This window comes from Homo sapiens, chromosome 6 (assembly GCF_000001405.40).
Source record: "Homo sapiens chromosome 6, GRCh38.p14 Primary Assembly".
NCBI lineage: Eukaryota > Metazoa > Chordata > Mammalia > Primates > Hominidae > Homo > Homo sapiens.
In genome coordinates, this window is record NC_000006.12 from 10,138,704 (window position 1) to 10,156,314 (window position 17,611).

General features: G+C 37.9%; 2 long non-coding RNA genes and 1 pseudogene across 3 annotated transcripts in view; 1 reads left to right on the plus strand and 2 right to left on the minus strand.

Annotated features, from left to right (window-relative positions):
• LOC124900218 (uncharacterized) overlaps positions 1-1,981 on the minus strand; it is a 45,268-nt gene extending 43,287 nt beyond the window's left edge. Inside the window, exon 1 of the long non-coding RNA XR_007059909.1 lies at positions 1,245-1,981. This is a non-coding gene — a long non-coding RNA (uncharacterized LOC124900218). The remainder of the gene's footprint in view (positions 1-1,244) is intronic.
• The window catches only part of OFCC1 (orofacial cleft 1 candidate 1 (pseudogene)), a 506,631-nt pseudogene that overhangs the window by 433,726 nt on the left and 55,294 nt on the right, over positions 1-17,611 (minus strand). The gene's annotated exons all lie outside the window — the stretch shown is intronic.
• LOC105374918 (uncharacterized) lies at positions 2,083-6,442 on the plus strand. The gene is made up of 3 exons (XR_926456.3): positions 2,083-2,404; positions 2,918-3,013; positions 4,169-6,442. It is a non-coding gene; the product is annotated as an uncharacterized LOC105374918 (long non-coding RNA).

Consider the following 17,611-nt stretch of genomic DNA (forward strand, 5'->3'; position numbering starts at 1 on the left):
AATAAATAAATAAATAAGTATCTGCCTCCTAAGATAAAATGCTCCTTGACTTCAACACCTTATAGAGGAATGAGAAAGGGAACATGTTCTCTATTTTTAAGAAGACTTTTTAAAGCTTTCATTTAATTAGCCAGGCGTGGTGGCAGGTGCCTGTAGTCCCAGCTACTCGGGAAGCTGAGGCAGGAGAATCGCTTGAACCCGGGAAGCAGAGGTTGCAGTCAGCCGAGACTGCACCACTGCACTCCAGCCTGGGCAACAGAGCAAGACTCTGTCTAAAAAAAAAAAAAAAGCTTTCATTTAAAAAGCAATTATCAGTGGACCAAAATAGATTTATAAAGATGATTCATCTCAGTTAAGCTTCAGTCAGATAAGCATCCTCAAGTCCCAGACCTGTGTGCTATGATTCAGTGTGAAATGGCTTGAGATAGACAGGGCTGGGCTGAGGCTACAGTCAATAGGGAGCCATCTCATGGAGACTCGGGCAGGAAGCCATGACTGTGGTTAATTCAATGGTGGGTTCCTTTTACATGTAAGCGAAACCTGAGAGTTCTTCTTCCTTCCTTTTAAAATTTGTCATTGAGAAGTTCCATTTTTAATTATTCTTTCACATTTAGCACCTTTGCAGATTTAGGATCTGCAAAAGTACATTAGGCTCAGCAGCATTTGGGGTGCCATGCAACTAGCTCTTATGCTACATTCCAGTTTTTCAGAATGAAGTAAAATAGAACCAAGATCCTCCCTCTGCCTTGCTCACTGATAACCCTCCTGGGCTTGGGGTGAGAGAAGAGACGTCGCCACAGTCAAATCACATCGCTCTCAGGGAAGCAGCCAGCGTTCTTTCAGACATTCATGAATGGCCCTTTTCTCCCTTTCCCTTTCCTTTTGTGCCCAGACTTTCTGTGTCAAGAACCTGAGAGCTGTTCAGAAGGGAAGAAAGGACATAGAGGTGCTCTCGCATTTCTTCCCAGAGGTGCTGAAATTAACCCCTTATCTGTCCTGGGCAAGCATCCTGAGGTTTCCTTAATTAACATTTGTCAGACTCTTTCAAAGGAAAGGTACCAGGTGATGATTACAGTAGCTTGTCTCACCCTCTTTGGCTGGTAAATTAGCTTAGAACTTTCTCATGAAACTTGGGGTATCAAGCAACTCTCCTTAAAAGGAACTAATCCCCTTTCCAATGATTTCCAATTCTAGGGTCTATAGGAAGCAGATACAATGAAAATTTGAGGCAAAAATGTACTCACTATTCAAACTTGATTATAGTGACATCGTTTTCATACTTCAAAATCAAATTCCCAAATTCTGCCCTGCAAATCCTTCCCACTTTTTCACTGTTACTTTGTTTCTATTTGGACTATTCCCATTTCCATGAGGAATACTGGCTCAGAAATAAAACATACACTATAATTTGGCTTTTGGGTTCCAGCTTTAAGACATGTATGAGCATCGTGTTGTTACTGTTAACTTACAATTGAGGATGCTTCTCTCACACTTGTTGATTTTACTAACGTGTGTGAGGGTGCCTGTGAAATCAGCATTCCAGCACCAACCATTTGTTACCAGAAAACTAATAATCAAATCAAGTAAGTGAATCACTGAGCCCCAGAGCCTGCCTCATTCTTTTGCAATAAGGATCGCACCTCATTTCCTTCTGGAACTTGATTACAACAAACAAAGATTCAAAAAGGGCTGAGGCCTAAAGATCACCCTAAACAACTTGGAGAGCTCAACATTGTGAAGCTCAGCTACCAATATGTTGCTGTTAACTCAAAGAATGGAAAAGGAGATGGAAGTTTTAAGGTTCCCCAGACTTGCAGAAATCTGTACAAACCAGCCTAAAGAACTAAGAAAAGAAAAAGCTTTTTTAGTCCTCTGACGTCTACTTGGAAGTTTTCACATACTGTAGTTAAGACCAAAGAACAAGTCTTGGGCCCGTCTAACCCTGACCAAAATTGATTTTCTGTCCAGTAACTGCCCGAGTTCTAGGTTAGTTCATGCCCTATCTGACAAAGCGCCTTCGCTAAATACGCTACAGTAGCCCACAGGGATCTTTTTTAAGGTTTCCCCAAGAGTGACTTTTTATTCCCCTCCTATCTTCCCTAGAATTTTCTTTTGTTTGAAACCGCAACCTCAGTTTTTTAAAATTCCATGAATGAAAAACCATGAATATTTTAGAAAACATTCAGGTTATAGAAGTGGCCACATTTGTTGATTTCTTAAATAAAGCTGAAGTTCTCTGTCCGTTGCTATATGGTAAGCCCTAGGGCTCAATTCAGATAAGTGTACTGTGTTTCACTGCCAAAAAAAACATCCGTTTTCTTCTACAGTCACCATAAACCAACAACCCTAGAAAAACCTGCTTTGTTGTCCTGAAGGAGCTGTTATTGTTCAGAATATTTTACATGTAAGTGAAACCTGAGAGTTCTTCTTCCTTCCTTTTATAATTTGTCATTGGGAACTTCCATTTTTATTTATTCTTTCACATTTAGCACCTGAATACTTATGGGATCTGCAAAAGTACATATTGAAATATGCAAATGGTATATAGCATGTGAGTGTCAGATTCACGGAAATTAAATCAAATACAGGGGAGAGAAAAGAAACAGAGTGCATTAAAGCTAACTTTATGGTCCCAAGCTGTAGACAAATTGTGGTCTGTGGTAGTTAAACAACAGCTGTTCGAATTTAAAATAAAATTATGATAAGGATCCCCAGAAGATAACACTTCTTGAGGTAACAGCATTTACCTCAATGCATCTGTTAGCAAATAGCACTGACGAGCGTTGATGTGAAGGTTTATTCCCATTTCTTTTCCTATGGTCGTTCTGTCATTCCCATTTCTGGTAGATAGTTACTCTTACTGAGTGAAATTTATGTTTCGTTTCCCAGCATAACCTTTTCTTCCATGTCTGCTCAGGTGAATTTCTGCTCCAGCTGGCTGGGGACCATCATGACAAGGGAATGTGATCAAGAAGACAAACACATAGATATCATGAAGAAAAGAAAACGGAAGGTGGGTACTCCTTTAGTTGGGGTTCATTTATTCAAACTAAGTCTTCCTTAAACTCTTAGTGAATAGCAATTCTTTAAGAGCTTCACACCCAATAAAATTTAAACTTTTATGTAGTATTTTCTTCATTTATTGTGCAAGAGCTTTACTGCAGACACGTAGGAAACCACCCAGCTGGAATTTGTAAGAGCAGTGACTGCTGTTTCCCTCAATACCTCAAATCTGTGTGTGCTCATTTCAAGCCTATCTGCTTATTTTCTCTCTCTCTCCTGACTCACTCCATCTCTTGCTCTCTCTAGATCCTGATCTCTGTCCCCTCTCATCACTGTCATCACCATCACATCCACCAAAATGCACATTGGTAGCAAATAGACTATATTCCTAAAAATAAATCTCTCAACCTATATGTTTTTGGTAAATAAAACAATTTATCCAAGCCAAGAGAATGCATACATTTGTTAAACAATTTATACTTTATCTGAAACATGATATTTGTTCATATACTTAAGGATGTTTAAGGAAATAATTTGGAACTGAAAACTTTCCCACAAAGCTGTGTGTATATAGAGAGATAAAATCTACATGTAGAAGCAGCCTCTTTGCATGCCCCAGTGCCAAGAAAAATCGTAATGGAGGGTTTTCAGATACAAATTAAATTTTGAAGCACTTTGCATTTTTTTTATTTTTATTTTTTTGAGACCCAGGCTGGAGTGCAGTGGCACAATCTCGGCTCACTGCAACCTCCGCCTCCTGGGTTCAAGTGATTCTCCTGCCTCAGCCTCCCGAGTAGCTGTGATTACAGGTAGCTGCCACCATGCCTGGCTAATTTTTGTATCTTTAGTAGAGATGGGGTTTTGTCATGTTGGCCAGGCTGGTCTCAAGGTCTGACCTCAGGTGATCCGCCCACCTTGGCCTCCCAAAGTGCTGGGATTATAGGCATGAGCCACCACGCCCAGCCTACATTTTTAAAAATGAGCCAAAAACAGGAGTTAATAAGGAATTATTGTTATTAAGATATGTTAACTTTTAAAATAAAACTGACATTGTAAAATTTGTCAGTGAACTGGAATATTATAGTTTGGGTTGTTTATGATTTTAACATTTTCAATAATATAAAAATTATTTGTTAATAATTTTATAACTTGCTTGCTTTTTCAGATACCAATATACTTTATTCTGAGCCAAGGCAAAGTCCATCTGACAACAGCAGATTGGACAATAACTGAAAATGTAGTCTGTAAGGAAGCTTAATAATAAGATATACATCTCTTTATATTTCACTAAATGGCTAAAGAATGCGGAAAACTTATGTTTATACAAAAACCAGCAGACTGACATTTATAGCAGCTTTATCCATAACTGTCAACATTTGGAAGCAACCAAGATGTCCTTTAGCAGGTGAATTGATAAATAAAACTGTGGCACATCCAGACAAGGGAATATTATTCAGCACTAAAAATAAAGGAGCTATCAAGCCAGGAAAAAACAAGGAGGAAACTCACATGCATATTGCTAAGTAAAAGAAGCCAGCCTGGAAAAGCTGCATACTGTATGATTCCAACTCTGTGACATTCTGGAAAAGTAAAACCCTGGAGGCAGTAAAGAGATCAGTGGTTGCCAGAAGTTAGGAGGAAAGGAGGGATGAATAGGCAGGGCACAGAGGATTTTTAGGGCAGTGAAACTACTCTGTGTGGTCCTGTAATGGTGGTTTAATGTCATTATGCATTTGGCCACACCCATAGAATGTACACCACCAAGAGTGAACTCTAATGTAAACTGTGGACTTTGGGTGATAATGATGTGTCAGTGTGGGTTCAATTGTAACAAATGTGCCACTCTGGTGGGGGATGGTGATAATGCGGAGCTGTGCACGTGGGGTGGGCAGGGGCATGCGGGAAATCTCTGTCCCTTCCTCTCAATTTTGCAGTAAACTTTAAAGCTCTTAAAAAGTAAGTATTTTTTAAACAAGAAAGAAACAAGGTGAACTAAATGTACAGCTAGATCTAACATAAGGAAATAAGAATTGCTATTAATTTACATATATTAACTAATTAATTGTGAACCTTTTTAAAATACCATTGTGAACTGTAATGTATTTTATATTCAAATGAATCCTCAGCCTTCTTCATTGTAAATATTAGCTGAACAAATGAGTAAATAAAAATCGACTTCATAGAAAATCAAGTGAGTCCGGTCATAGCCAGATAACAGTGTTTAACCCACAAAAGATATGCAATTGTTCTTTAAAACAGTAAGAGGATTAATACAAAATTATTAAAGTTTATATTAAAGACATAAATGTAATCTTTACAAATAATTTTCTTATGGATAAATTATGCTTACTGTAGTTATTAGCCGGAACTTGCAATAATCTCCATATTAAGACAACCAAGACAACAATTAGTTTGTTTTAAGGCACCTGCCAACTTATATACTAGAAAATAAAAGTTTTCCAAGTGAAAAAACAGCTTTGCTCAGAATTTAAAACACTCTACTGGATAGCCTGCTTAACAGCACTAGGAAAACAAAAATTCTATGCATCAAAAGATGAATGAAAAGAGAAACAATAAACCAGGATGAAGATACATACAAACCCAATGGCTTCATATCTAGAATACATAAAGAACTCCCACAAATCAATAAGAAAAAGAGAAGCAGCCCAATAGAAAAATGGCAAAGTATGTGAACACAGAATCTATGAAAGAGAAAATTCAAATACTCCAAAACATTTTTAAATATGTTCAACCTCTGGCTGGGCACAGTGGCTCACGCCTATAATCCCAGCAATTTGGGAGGCTAAGGCAAGTGGCTCTCTTGAGGCCAGCCTGGACAACATGGCAAAACCCTGTCTCTGCTAAAAACACAAAAATTAGCTGGGTGTGGTGGCACATGCCTGTAATCCCAGCTACTCAGGAGGCTGAGGCACAAGAATCACTTAAGCATGGGAGACCAAGGTTGCAGTGAGCTGAGATCACACCACTGCACTCCAGCCTGGGCAACAGAGCAAGGCTTTGTCTCAAAAAAAAAAGTTTAACCTCAAAATACTTACAGAGATGCAAATAAAACCATTAGATTTCATACTTATCAAATTCATTAAAGTTTTCCAATTCTGGCAACACATTATTTTGGCAAGTATATGAAGTAACACAGCTGATGGAACTATAAACTTGTACAATCGATTTGGAGAAAATTTGGGAATATATATATATATATATATATCAGATTTGAAACTACTCACAGCCTATGACTCAGCAATTCCAAACCTGAAGAAACTCCTGTCCACATGCCCAAGAAGATCTCTTTAAGAATGTTCACAGCATTATTTATTTCTAAATAATACAAAACTGAAAATGTTACACATGCTCCTTCAAGAATAAAATGTGTAAGCAAACTGTGATGTATTCATAAATAAAAATAGTTAAAACATGCAAACCAGATATCTGTATCTATCTATATTTTTATCAGCATGAATAAATGCCCAGAACATAGCACTAAAAGAAAAAAGCAAGTTGGAAGGACAAATACAGTTTAATAATACTTTTATGAAGTTTTAAATATATGCAAAAGAGCACCATGAATTGATTATTAATGCAAACATATACTATAAAAATATAATGATATGTATGAGAATGATAGACATTAAATTCAGGAAACTAATGATCTCAGCTTGGGAGGGAGGGGAACAGGGTAAGAGTGTGGGGGCTTTAACTGTACCTATAATGTTTTTTGTTTTTTGTTTTTTTAAGCTGGGTGGCTAGTTCTTCGGTGTTTATTAAATATATTCTTCATAGTTTTTGTTTTCTTAAAAATACTTCATAATTTAAAACTAAAAATGGCATCTGCCTCACAACCCCTAACAAGGCCTTTCCCAGTTTCCCATTAACATAAAGATGCGAAGGCAAATAAAAAGACAATATTTGAAATAGCGTTTGTATTAGTTTACTAGGGTTGTCATAACAAAATACCATAGATCAGGTGGCTTCAACAGCAGAAATTTATTTTCTCATAAATCCAGAGGCTAAAAGTTCGAGATCAAGGTGCTGGCAGGGTTGGCTTCCTATAAGGCCTCTCCCCTTGGCTTATAGATGGCCAGCTTCTCGCTGTGTCCACACACAGTTTTTCCTCTGTGCGCATCTGTGTCTTAATCTCCTCTTCTTATAAGAACACCAGTCGGATTGGATTAAGGCCCACCTATATGACCTCACTGAACCTTTTTTTTTTTTACTTAAAAAAATTTTAATTCTTTTAGGTACACAATGTTATATATTTGTGTATGTGAGATGTTTTGATACTGGCATGTAATGTGAAATAAGCACATCATGGAGAATAGGGATTCATCCCCTAGAGGTAATTAAGGTTCAGTTAGTATGAATATAGTCAATACTAACTGAACCTTAATTACCTCTTAAAAGTCCTATCTATCTCCAAATACAAACAGTCCCCAATTTACAATAGTCAAAACTTAAAATTTTACTGTGGTGCAAAAGCAATACCCATTCAGTAGAAACTGTACTTTGGGTACCCATACAACCGAAAAAAGTGAAAGGTTTTTCACTTTTAGTACAGTATTCAATAAATCACTTGAGACAGTCAACACTTTATTATAAAATAGACTGGATGATGTTTTTGTCCAACTATAGGCTACCATAAGTATTCTGAGCACGTTTAAAGTAAGCTAGGCTAAGTTATGATGTTCAGTAAGTTAGGTGCATTAGGAGTATTAAATGCATTTTTGATTTAATGATATTTTCAACTTACGATGGGTTTGTTAGGACATAACCCTATCATAAGTTGGGGAGCATCCGCACAGTCACACTCTGAGGTTCTGGGAGTTAGGACTTCAACATATGAATTTTGGGGGGACACAATTCGGCCCATAACAATACTGAAATCTAAGTTCAATGGACAACAGATTCCTAAAAGCTGGAAGAAAATGCCTCATTATAAGAATAGTGGAATCCTTTTGAGAATAAACAACCACTAACTTGCCTATGTTTCATATCAGGTGTAGCACTGCCCCACCCACCCCCCGCAAAGGTAGTGGGGAGATAAATCACCTCTCCTTTGTCTAATCTTACCTGAGAACCAAGGTCCAGCCATAGTATCAATTGAGAATGCCAAACATTTTCTAATTTTCTTTTGTTGCCTGAAATAGGTAATAATCTGTCTCTGAGGCTTCAAGATAATGATCTTTTCCCCTAATTGTGCAATATTTTTCTTATAAGCCTTCTGTTGGTATTTTTCTGGGTTTTTTTCATTGTCATAAAAAGACAAATCTTTTCAGTAAGAAATAGAATCTTATTCTCCCCTCCATCCCCCATCTCCTCCCACTCGCCCCTGCCACCCACCAGCCTCCACCAAAGTACAGCCCATTCTGAGACTATGAGCACATGAAAAACTCCATTTCCCAGGAAGCACTGTACTTTGCAAGGACTACACCTCCCAGGATGCAATGCATCTCAGCCGGTCTTCTCAAATGCCTGCACCAGTTTTGTTTTGTTTTGTTTTGTTTTTCAGTTACATTTTCTAAATGGATGTAAGGCAGAACTATCTTCTGCAATGGAATAAAAGTAAGCTTGTTTTTGGATTTATTGCCTTCAGCCCTAAATGCCGGAACACAGTGGAACATTGCTTACAGAATTTTGAGACAGAAAAAAATAAACAAAACCCTTGAATTTATACCCAGCCAAGTGTTATTTGACGGGAGGAAAGCAACAGAAAGAACCTTCCATCATAGAGCAGTTTATTGGTCTTTACTAATTAAACAAAAGCATAACTTGGCTTTTTCAATATACATTTCAAAGATGCAAGAAAAATCATTATTCGAGGATGTTGTTTTCAAATCGATTGGGCAGCGAGGAACAGAGCTTTTCTCTACAGTCCCTTGCCCAAATGTTCTTTTTCTGCTTCTGATGCTGTTAATTTTCCAGCATCAGAAATGCTTCTTGGATCACATCCTTAACTTACTGTTCTAAATACTTGACTTCTTCGATGAACATTTAAAACAACAAATAATGCTGTTCTGTGCCAGCATTTACTAACAATGGCCAGACTTTTCACAGGGCTGATACAAAAAGTGCTCTTTTAGCCCTCCACAATAGCAGAACTGCTGAAACCAACATAAAGGCCATTTTCATTGTCAAGCTTCTTGGTTATTGATTTTTTTTCTGCATCTTTGAAATGTACGTTGAGAAATCTAACTATGGTTTTAAATAATTAGCAAAGATCAATAAACTGCCCTATGATATATTTCATTTGACACAAATCCCCACCTCTTATCATCTTCCAAGACTGGAGAATATTTCTGTCTAAATATGTTTTTTAAACATTATATGCAATGATATTTGTCAGATTTATGTTGCAAAGAACAAAATCCACTCTAGCTAGTTTAGCTGAAGCTAGTTTATTACAAGTTTGAAATGGGTTATTGGACTGTTAGGAAGGCTGAGGAAAGAGCCTCTAGGTTAGATTTCAAGAATGGCTCCCAAAGTCACAAAATTCAGCCACCCACGGAGCTTCTTTTGTCATTTGGAAGCTGCTTGCCAAATAGGAAAGCTGCCACCTCCTGAACCTTACCAACATCATCCCAATCAAGAAGGCTGCTATAATCTGTACCAGCAAAACAGGTCCCCTCTCCACACTCCAACTCCACAGTTCAACGGCTGTTGAGACGTCCACTGGTGTCATAGCAGAAAAACCAAGTTCCTACCTGTTTCTGCTTACTAAGAAAATCAAGCAGCTACAGTCTCTGCCTCCCTTCCACCTTCCAAATCATTCATGAGTGCATCTAATTCATCTACTTTTTGGAAACTAAATTATACTCAGAACCTCAGACAAAAGGAATTCTGGGAAATGTACAGGAATGCATACCAGACAAATGTTGGGAAAGACATGGAGCACCAGTCCATCATCTTCATACCACTACCAACCTAATCATATTCTTAAATGTATAGGAAAAGAGGCAAAGGACACGCCATAATACTCATGGTCCATTAGAAGCATCTGGGGAGCTTGTTGTAACTGAGGATAAGAGTTACAATAATAATATTAATCATCATCATCACTAACATTTGATTCCACACTATGTGCCAACCAATATTCTATGTGCTGTATGAGCATTATGCCATTTAATCCTTATAACAGCCCTGAGGTGTGTACTCTTTTTATCCTTAATTTACACCTGAGAGGACTGCAGCATAAAGAGGTGAATTAATTTGCTCAAGGACACATACTGTTAAGTGATGGAATCAAGATTCTAACCCAGACAGTCTGACCCCAGAGACTGCCCCTCTGCTGGATTTAATGCAGTCGGTCTGAGGTGGGGTCCAGGAGACTGCTTTTTAATAAGCTCTCTAGGGCGACTCTCATGGACATCCAAGTTTATCTCCAGTACCTTCCAATCTTAGGCAATCATCGTGTATTAGTTTTATAATCATGAAAATGCTCTAAAAATGACAACACCTATAATTCTGCATATGCCATGTGATCATTGCCACATAAGTAACATACACACTGCAAAAGGGCTGGAAGTAAATATACCAAAGGGCTAGCAGAGATTCTCTTTGTATAGTGGGACTGAGAGTGATATTTTGCTGTCTTCTACTGTCTGTATTTTTCAAATGTTTACGATGAGCATGACTTTTATTCTATGTCTGCATGCGCTCAAGTTTCATCTATTAGTCTACAAGTGGTTGATGTTGGCACCCAAGCGTTAAAGATGTCATCTTTTTACTTGTATTTCCTTTCTGTTTCCTTTCCCGCCACTATGCAATTTTATCACATAAAATTAAAAACCAGGATGCTAACTGAAAATTTCCGAGTCCACTGGCCAGGCTAAGACAAGAAAAACAAATTTTACCAGATAAATTCAAGCGTTTGTTTTTATGTTTTACATGAGAGACTATGAAACAGTGATTTGAGGTGCCAGTTCTGAACATGTACATCAATACCTGTTGATCACACTTTATCTTTCCGCATTCCCTCTTTTTCCTGTCTACCTCCACTCCTTCTTGTCTGTAAGTCTAAAAGGGCCCTCGCCGTGCTAGGAGCTCGGCAGCCTTCTCAGAAGCACAGTCGACAGAGACTGACAGCTCGCATCGTCCACTGGGCCAGTCTGGCTCCGGCACACGCATGAGCTGACCACACACTTGGTAACCGTCACTTTGACGAGCCAGCCTCAACAACCCTGATCCATCATCCAGGCAAACATTAATATTTTACCTCAGTTATCAAGTGTGCCCGTTCAAACTTTTATCTAAAACATTCTTTATCATCTTTTCATTAAGTTCTCAAGAGCTAATGGTTTCTGAGTTCCCCGGGTAAGGATGATGTTCTGAATAATGAAAGCTCATTATTTCTCCACAGAATGCTTGTTAATTCAAATGATGATATTAAAACTATAGTAGCCTTTAGCGCTGGGGTGATTTCTAGCATACTTTATCATGTATCAATATATACTCTGTTTGTCAAAACTGCCCAGGGCTGGGGCTGACATTCTCTCTGGAGGAGTCTAGTGCTTCAAAAGGCACTGAATACACCAAGGTGACAACTGGCAGGGTTTGCGCCTCTAGGAAATGGAGAGATGAAACTTGAAGTGCCACTGTCTCTCTTGATTTCCTTATTAGTATTCATAAAGAAACAGTGCCCTCCTCTTCCTATTCCTTGTGGGTCTTCCTTTCGAATGGAATAAAAGAAAATCAATATTTTGAGAGAGAAGCACACACGGGGAGGTTCTACACATGAAATGTTATTTATTTCCATTTAACTGATCCCAGAATAATCTGCACAGAAAAAAAGACTGGTTTAGTTATTGCTTAGACAAACACATGTGTACACACAGACTGCACTCAACTCAATGCTCCAGATGGTTGATGATGCTCTTGGGGGAAAAGTGTGGGTTCTCACAGTTATTTTTAACAAGGCATTATTATTTGGTTCACTGAGTTTGGGGTGTCTTTCAAAACTTCCTAACCTTACCTCATCCAGGTTTTTATGACCAAGGAGATTCCCACAGTTGTTACATTGCTGTAAATTTCTTGAATAAGTCCCTGCTTCTCGACTTTCGACAGCAGGATACTTCAAATATTTCAAATGTTGCCAACCTCACCTTATACTCCTCAATTCTTCCTTACCTTTGGATAAAAGGTTTTTAATGACTGAGATGATTACTGCAAAGAGGTTCCTTCTCACTGAAAGAGTAAGCCCAGCCTGTCTTCTAGGTGAACTGTACAGCTTCCAGTCAGGGGATCTCCCATTTCCTTTCTCTCCACTCACTCTTTGCCTTTCTGTTATAAAAGTGTTGCAGAAAAATATAAATTGCTTCCTTCTGGATGCATTTCAAATTCCTCTCTGTGTCCTGCATTTTTGAAGCACCTGAAATTTTAGTATCCCAGCAGGTCTCCAAGGAGAGAGCAGTGTTCCCCAAACTAGGTATTTTACCTTTTTGAAATTGCATAAACCTGAAAAATCGTATCCACCCTTCCCTCTAGAATCTGGGAGGAATTGTAATTTTGAAAAACAAGCCATTCTCTGAGTTGCTTGGAGCTGTAAGGTCAACACACAGGAGCATTCGTGCACGCTACAACATGCATTTCTGTACCATTGTCTCTTAATTATCTCTCTTGTGGAAGACCAGCTGGCCTTCTGCCCACAGGCTCCATCATACTATGATAGTGAACTCTCTGCATTATAGTTGCGCTTTTTAGAACAGTAATGATCCAAAAGAAAAGGATCTACCAGCATTACTTTAATTATATTAATTATACCACTCAATAGTTTCTGCATTTTACATTAATCATGCTAGGCAATAGAATGATGCTTATTTAAATGAAATAAAAGTCACTCTGTTCATCCAACAAATGAATGACAAGGAGCATCTCAGCTAATTTATTATAGAGAAGCAAATGCATTCCCAGAATATTTCGGTCGTTAGGTCAACTTAAGAAAAATGTGGTTTAAGAAAAATATGTAGGGCATTTCCCATTGCATACATGGTTTTAAATATTCTGACCCAGTATCAGACTATGTGCCAAAACATCTTCAGGGTATACAAACATCCCAATCTTTGGTTCAGGAAATATGGTTACCATGTATGCAGGGAACTGCTTGAAACTCCTCCCAAAGTTTAAATGGTACTTCAGTCCTAATATGGATAACAAAGAAGTAGACTTGGAAGAAACTGATTAATACATCATTCCATTTGGTCTAGCAGCCTACTAAGCATCATCTTCCATAAAAGACCCCAGAAGCAAATGCTGTATTAATTTGCTCACTATTTCAGACCATATACCCACTCAATCTTTTAAAGCTCAGATTTTCTCAGGAATGGGTAGCTTTAGGACAAATTAAACATGAAACATTTGAGAAATTGACTTGTTGGCATCTAAGATTAGCAAATTAATTTTCAAGAGCAAATGGTACTTACTGCAACCGAACAAAAAATGTGGGGGAAGATGGGTAGAAAGCTAAAGTAAGGAAATATTCTTGGTAGATTCCATTTTCAATCCTTTTCACATAAGCATTTTATTCAAAGTATATTTGTAAAGGACAAAGTCAAATGTAAATGTCTGCATGATAAATCCATGAACACCAAAAATGAAAACACAGAGGCAAAATTAACTTGACCACCTGCCCCAAAAAGTGAATATAATTGAATGATTTACATATGAAAATATGTTTTTTCAGAGGTTAGGTTTTGTTTTTCTCTTAATGCATACATACAAAATTCTTTCGATGAATCACAAGTTGAATTCTACATGTCATTCTTTAATTCAGAATACATGGTATTAACCATCACAAATAAATCTACTCCGCTGTAAGGATAGCCATTTAAAGCTCAATAGGCTTTCCAGCTCAGCTGAAAATCTTTGCTGATCTGTAGTCAACAAAAATATATTGCTCCATAATCTGCAGGTTATGTTTTTTTTAAAGAAAAAACTCTTTATTCTTCTCACACTTTTTATCTGTGCAGGTTGCTATCCATAGCTTAAAGCAGGGATGAACAAACTCTCTAAAGGGTCAGAGAGTAAATATTTTAAGATTGGATTTGCAAACCATGCAGTTAATGTAGCAACTACTCAACTCTGCCATTGTAGTGTGACAGTAATCATAGACAATATGTAACACATGGCCATGTTCCCATAAAACTTTACTTGAAAAACAGGCAACAGGTCATATTTGATCCACAGACCATAGTTTGCTGGCCTCTATAAAGGAAAACGTGTCTTAAAATCATTTGCTTTATACATAGACTACTATGTTTATTTAAAATTACTCTCTAAAACTACCACTGAGAACAGAATTATATGGCTTAATCATTTATGATTAAGTCACTTATAGTTAGCTTCACATCAAGTCTGTTTCTTCCAGCATATAAATTACTTGTTGGACAAATGACTTTATCTATAAAATGCTACATAAATTAACCCAATATCTGGCGGTCAGTTGGATTCTTGACCTTGTTAAAAGTCAATCTTAATCTCAACATTAAAAAATTTAAGCATATAAGGAAGTAAAAATCTGAATAATGATAAACTTGTTTAAATCAACCATTCATGCTAGTTATTGCAATAATATAAGGAAGATCTTCTAGACCACAACTGGACCCTTATATAATGAAAATGATGTATTGAATGATCTGCCTGTGAACTGTAAGTATTAGAACAACTAAGAAGGTCTGAAGTTTTATTCTAGGATGGCAGATGCCCCTTGGAAGGGCTGTTTCAGTCTTCCACATGAAGTAGGTTAGTCCTGTCATAAACTGTAAAATAAACTGAAGAACAAAGGGCATGATTGATCCAAAAATGGATGCACTAATGAGACATCAACTAACTCAGAATTTTTATGTTTTGGGGCCTCAGAGTTTATGTAAATTGGGGCTCTTTACTTTGGGTCTATGACTGGACTTCAGTTGGGTTCCAAAAGTTCCCTAAAATTATGGGCAAAATTTGAGTGTTCAAGTGTTTAACTTTTGTCTTTTGTGAAAGTCTATTAGATCCATCAAGTAACTCCTACACAGGTCATTATCCCTCATAGCAATTTGAATAGTCTAAGTTGTAAAATATTGCCTGTAAATACTTATTTGAGATTTCAGAGATAGATTGGGAAAAGCTTGGAATTACAAAATCAGAGTTTCAGAAGGGTTCTGAAAAGTTTTCTGGCCCAACAATCATCTTGTCCTTAAATTATTTCTATACCCCCCTCAAGCATTCATGTAGCTTAGCTTAAATGTTGCTGTTGACGGGGATCTCACCTCCTTACAAAACAGCCCTTTCCACCTTTTGGTAACTCTGATTATTAGAAGGTTCTTTTTTACATTGAGTGAAACCTACCTGAACTATAGTTTTTACCCATTAGTTACCAATCTATCCATTGGTTTACCCATTAGTTCTAAGTTCTGGGGCCTACAGAACATGATAAGTTCTGGGGCCTCTTTTACATGACAGCTTTTGACTATTTCAGGTGTCAGCAAACCTCTTCTATGAATGGTCAGAGTAAATATTTTGGAGTTTTCAGCCATATGGTGTCTATTGCAACCACTCAAATCTGCTGCTGTAACACAAAAGCAGTCATTGACAGTAGGTAAATGAATGAGATGGCTGGGTTCCCAATCAAACTTTGCTTATATAGACATTGAAATTTGAATTTTATGTAATCTTCTTTTGATTTGCTTCCAACTATTTAAAAAGGGAAAGATCACTCTTAACTCACAGGCCATACAAAAAGAGGAAGTGGACCAGATTCAGCCCCTGGGCTATTGTTTGCCAACTCCTGAGATTTTCCCTTCTTCAATCTAAACATTCCTGGTACCTATAGCCATTTATTTTAAGACATGGTAACACTTCTTCATTATTCCAGCCTAAAATTGCTTTTCTTTCTTTCTTTCTTTCTTTCTTTTTTTTTTTTTTTATTTGAGGCAGAGTCTGGCTTTGTCACCCAGGCTGGAGTGCAGTGGTGTGATCTTGTCTCACTGCAACCTCCATCTCCCAGGTCCAAGCAATTTCTCCTGCCTCAGCCTCCTGAGTAGCTGGGACTACAGGTGCGCACCACCACACCTGGCTAATTTTTTGTATTTTTTAGTAGAGACGGGGTTTCACCATGTTGGCCAGGCTGGTCTCGAACTCCTGACCTCAAATGACCCACCTGCCCCGGCCTCCCAAAGTGCTGGGATTACAGGCATAAGCCACCACGCAAGGCATTTTTCTGTTTGTTTTTAGTCTTTTTCTTTGTTTGTGGATTACTCACATGTATTGAGTTATTTGACTGAAAGTATTCTAATCTGTTTAAAATTTATTACCTCTTTTTACTCTCATACCAATCCTTACAAGGGAGGTATTACTAATGTATTTATTACTTTGTTCTAGAAGTTAATATTATCCCTATTTTATACGTGGGGCAACAATAACTTTATACAAAGGTTAACAGAAGGCAAGTGACTTGCCCCAAATATGTAGTTAGAAAGTAGCAAGAAGAAGGATTCCAAGACAATCTCCTAATTCCTAGTCCAAGCTGCTTTCTACCATACCATGTCCCCTGTATCTGGAGGTCATACAATCCTGCAGAAAGGAATGAGCTTGTTCTGACATGATTCATGCTTGGTGAACCCATGAGGCTTCTGAAAATCATCACTTCTTTTCTATACTTTTGAACCATCTTTTCAGTAGATAGATCTAACATCTTACCCAGAATTAGACTCAAAGTCATCAGTTTGTTGGTTGCAGAATTATGGTCTTGCCTCTTTTGAAGGCATTCAGAATCTTGAGGAAAGTGAAATCTGAGCACAGTCAGGATTTAGAGAGAAAATGGACATTGGAGGAAGATGAGGTAGGATTAAAAAAAATCAGCATGTCTGGCCAGGAGCAGTGGCTCACGCCTGTAATCCCAGCACTTTGGGAGGCCGAGGTGGGTGGATCACCTGAGGTCAGAACTTCAAGACCAGTGTAGTCAACATGGCGAAACCCCGTCTCTACTGAAACTACAAAAATTAGCCGGGCGTGGTGGCGGGCGCCTGTAATCCCAGCTACTTGGGAGGCTAAGGCAGGAGAATCGCTTGAACCTGGGAAGCGGAGGTTGCAGTGAGGCGAGATTGCACCATTGCACTCCAGCCTGGGCGACAGAACAAGACTTTGTCTCAAAAAAAAAAAAAAAAGAAAAGAAAAGAAAAGAAAAAAGAAAAAAAGAAAAGGAAAGAAAAGAAATGGTTTGCACAATTGCACCACTGAAGGAATGTAGAGTATACCTTCCAAAGCAACCACTGCATAGGAAACAATATCATTTGGATGCGTAAGATCTGGGGAACTTGTATAAAAAATTACTCAGGCTACACTATATAGTCTTTGAAATGTCTTGGTAAGAGATAGTCCTATTCTCCCCGCCTTTTGTTGTTGTTTGTTGTTGTTGTTGTTGTTAAGTTCAATTTAACCAAAATTTTTAAGATGTACTAGTGTCTAGTGTCCTAATGACAGCATAAAAGTGTTAAAACATTATACGGGCCCTTTTCCATTTTAATATATTTTTCAGACTGCTGACATTTCCTTTCACAAGTTAAAATACCACCTTTCAACATGGGTTTCAAGCACGAGTCAAAAATACTCTTAGGTTTGG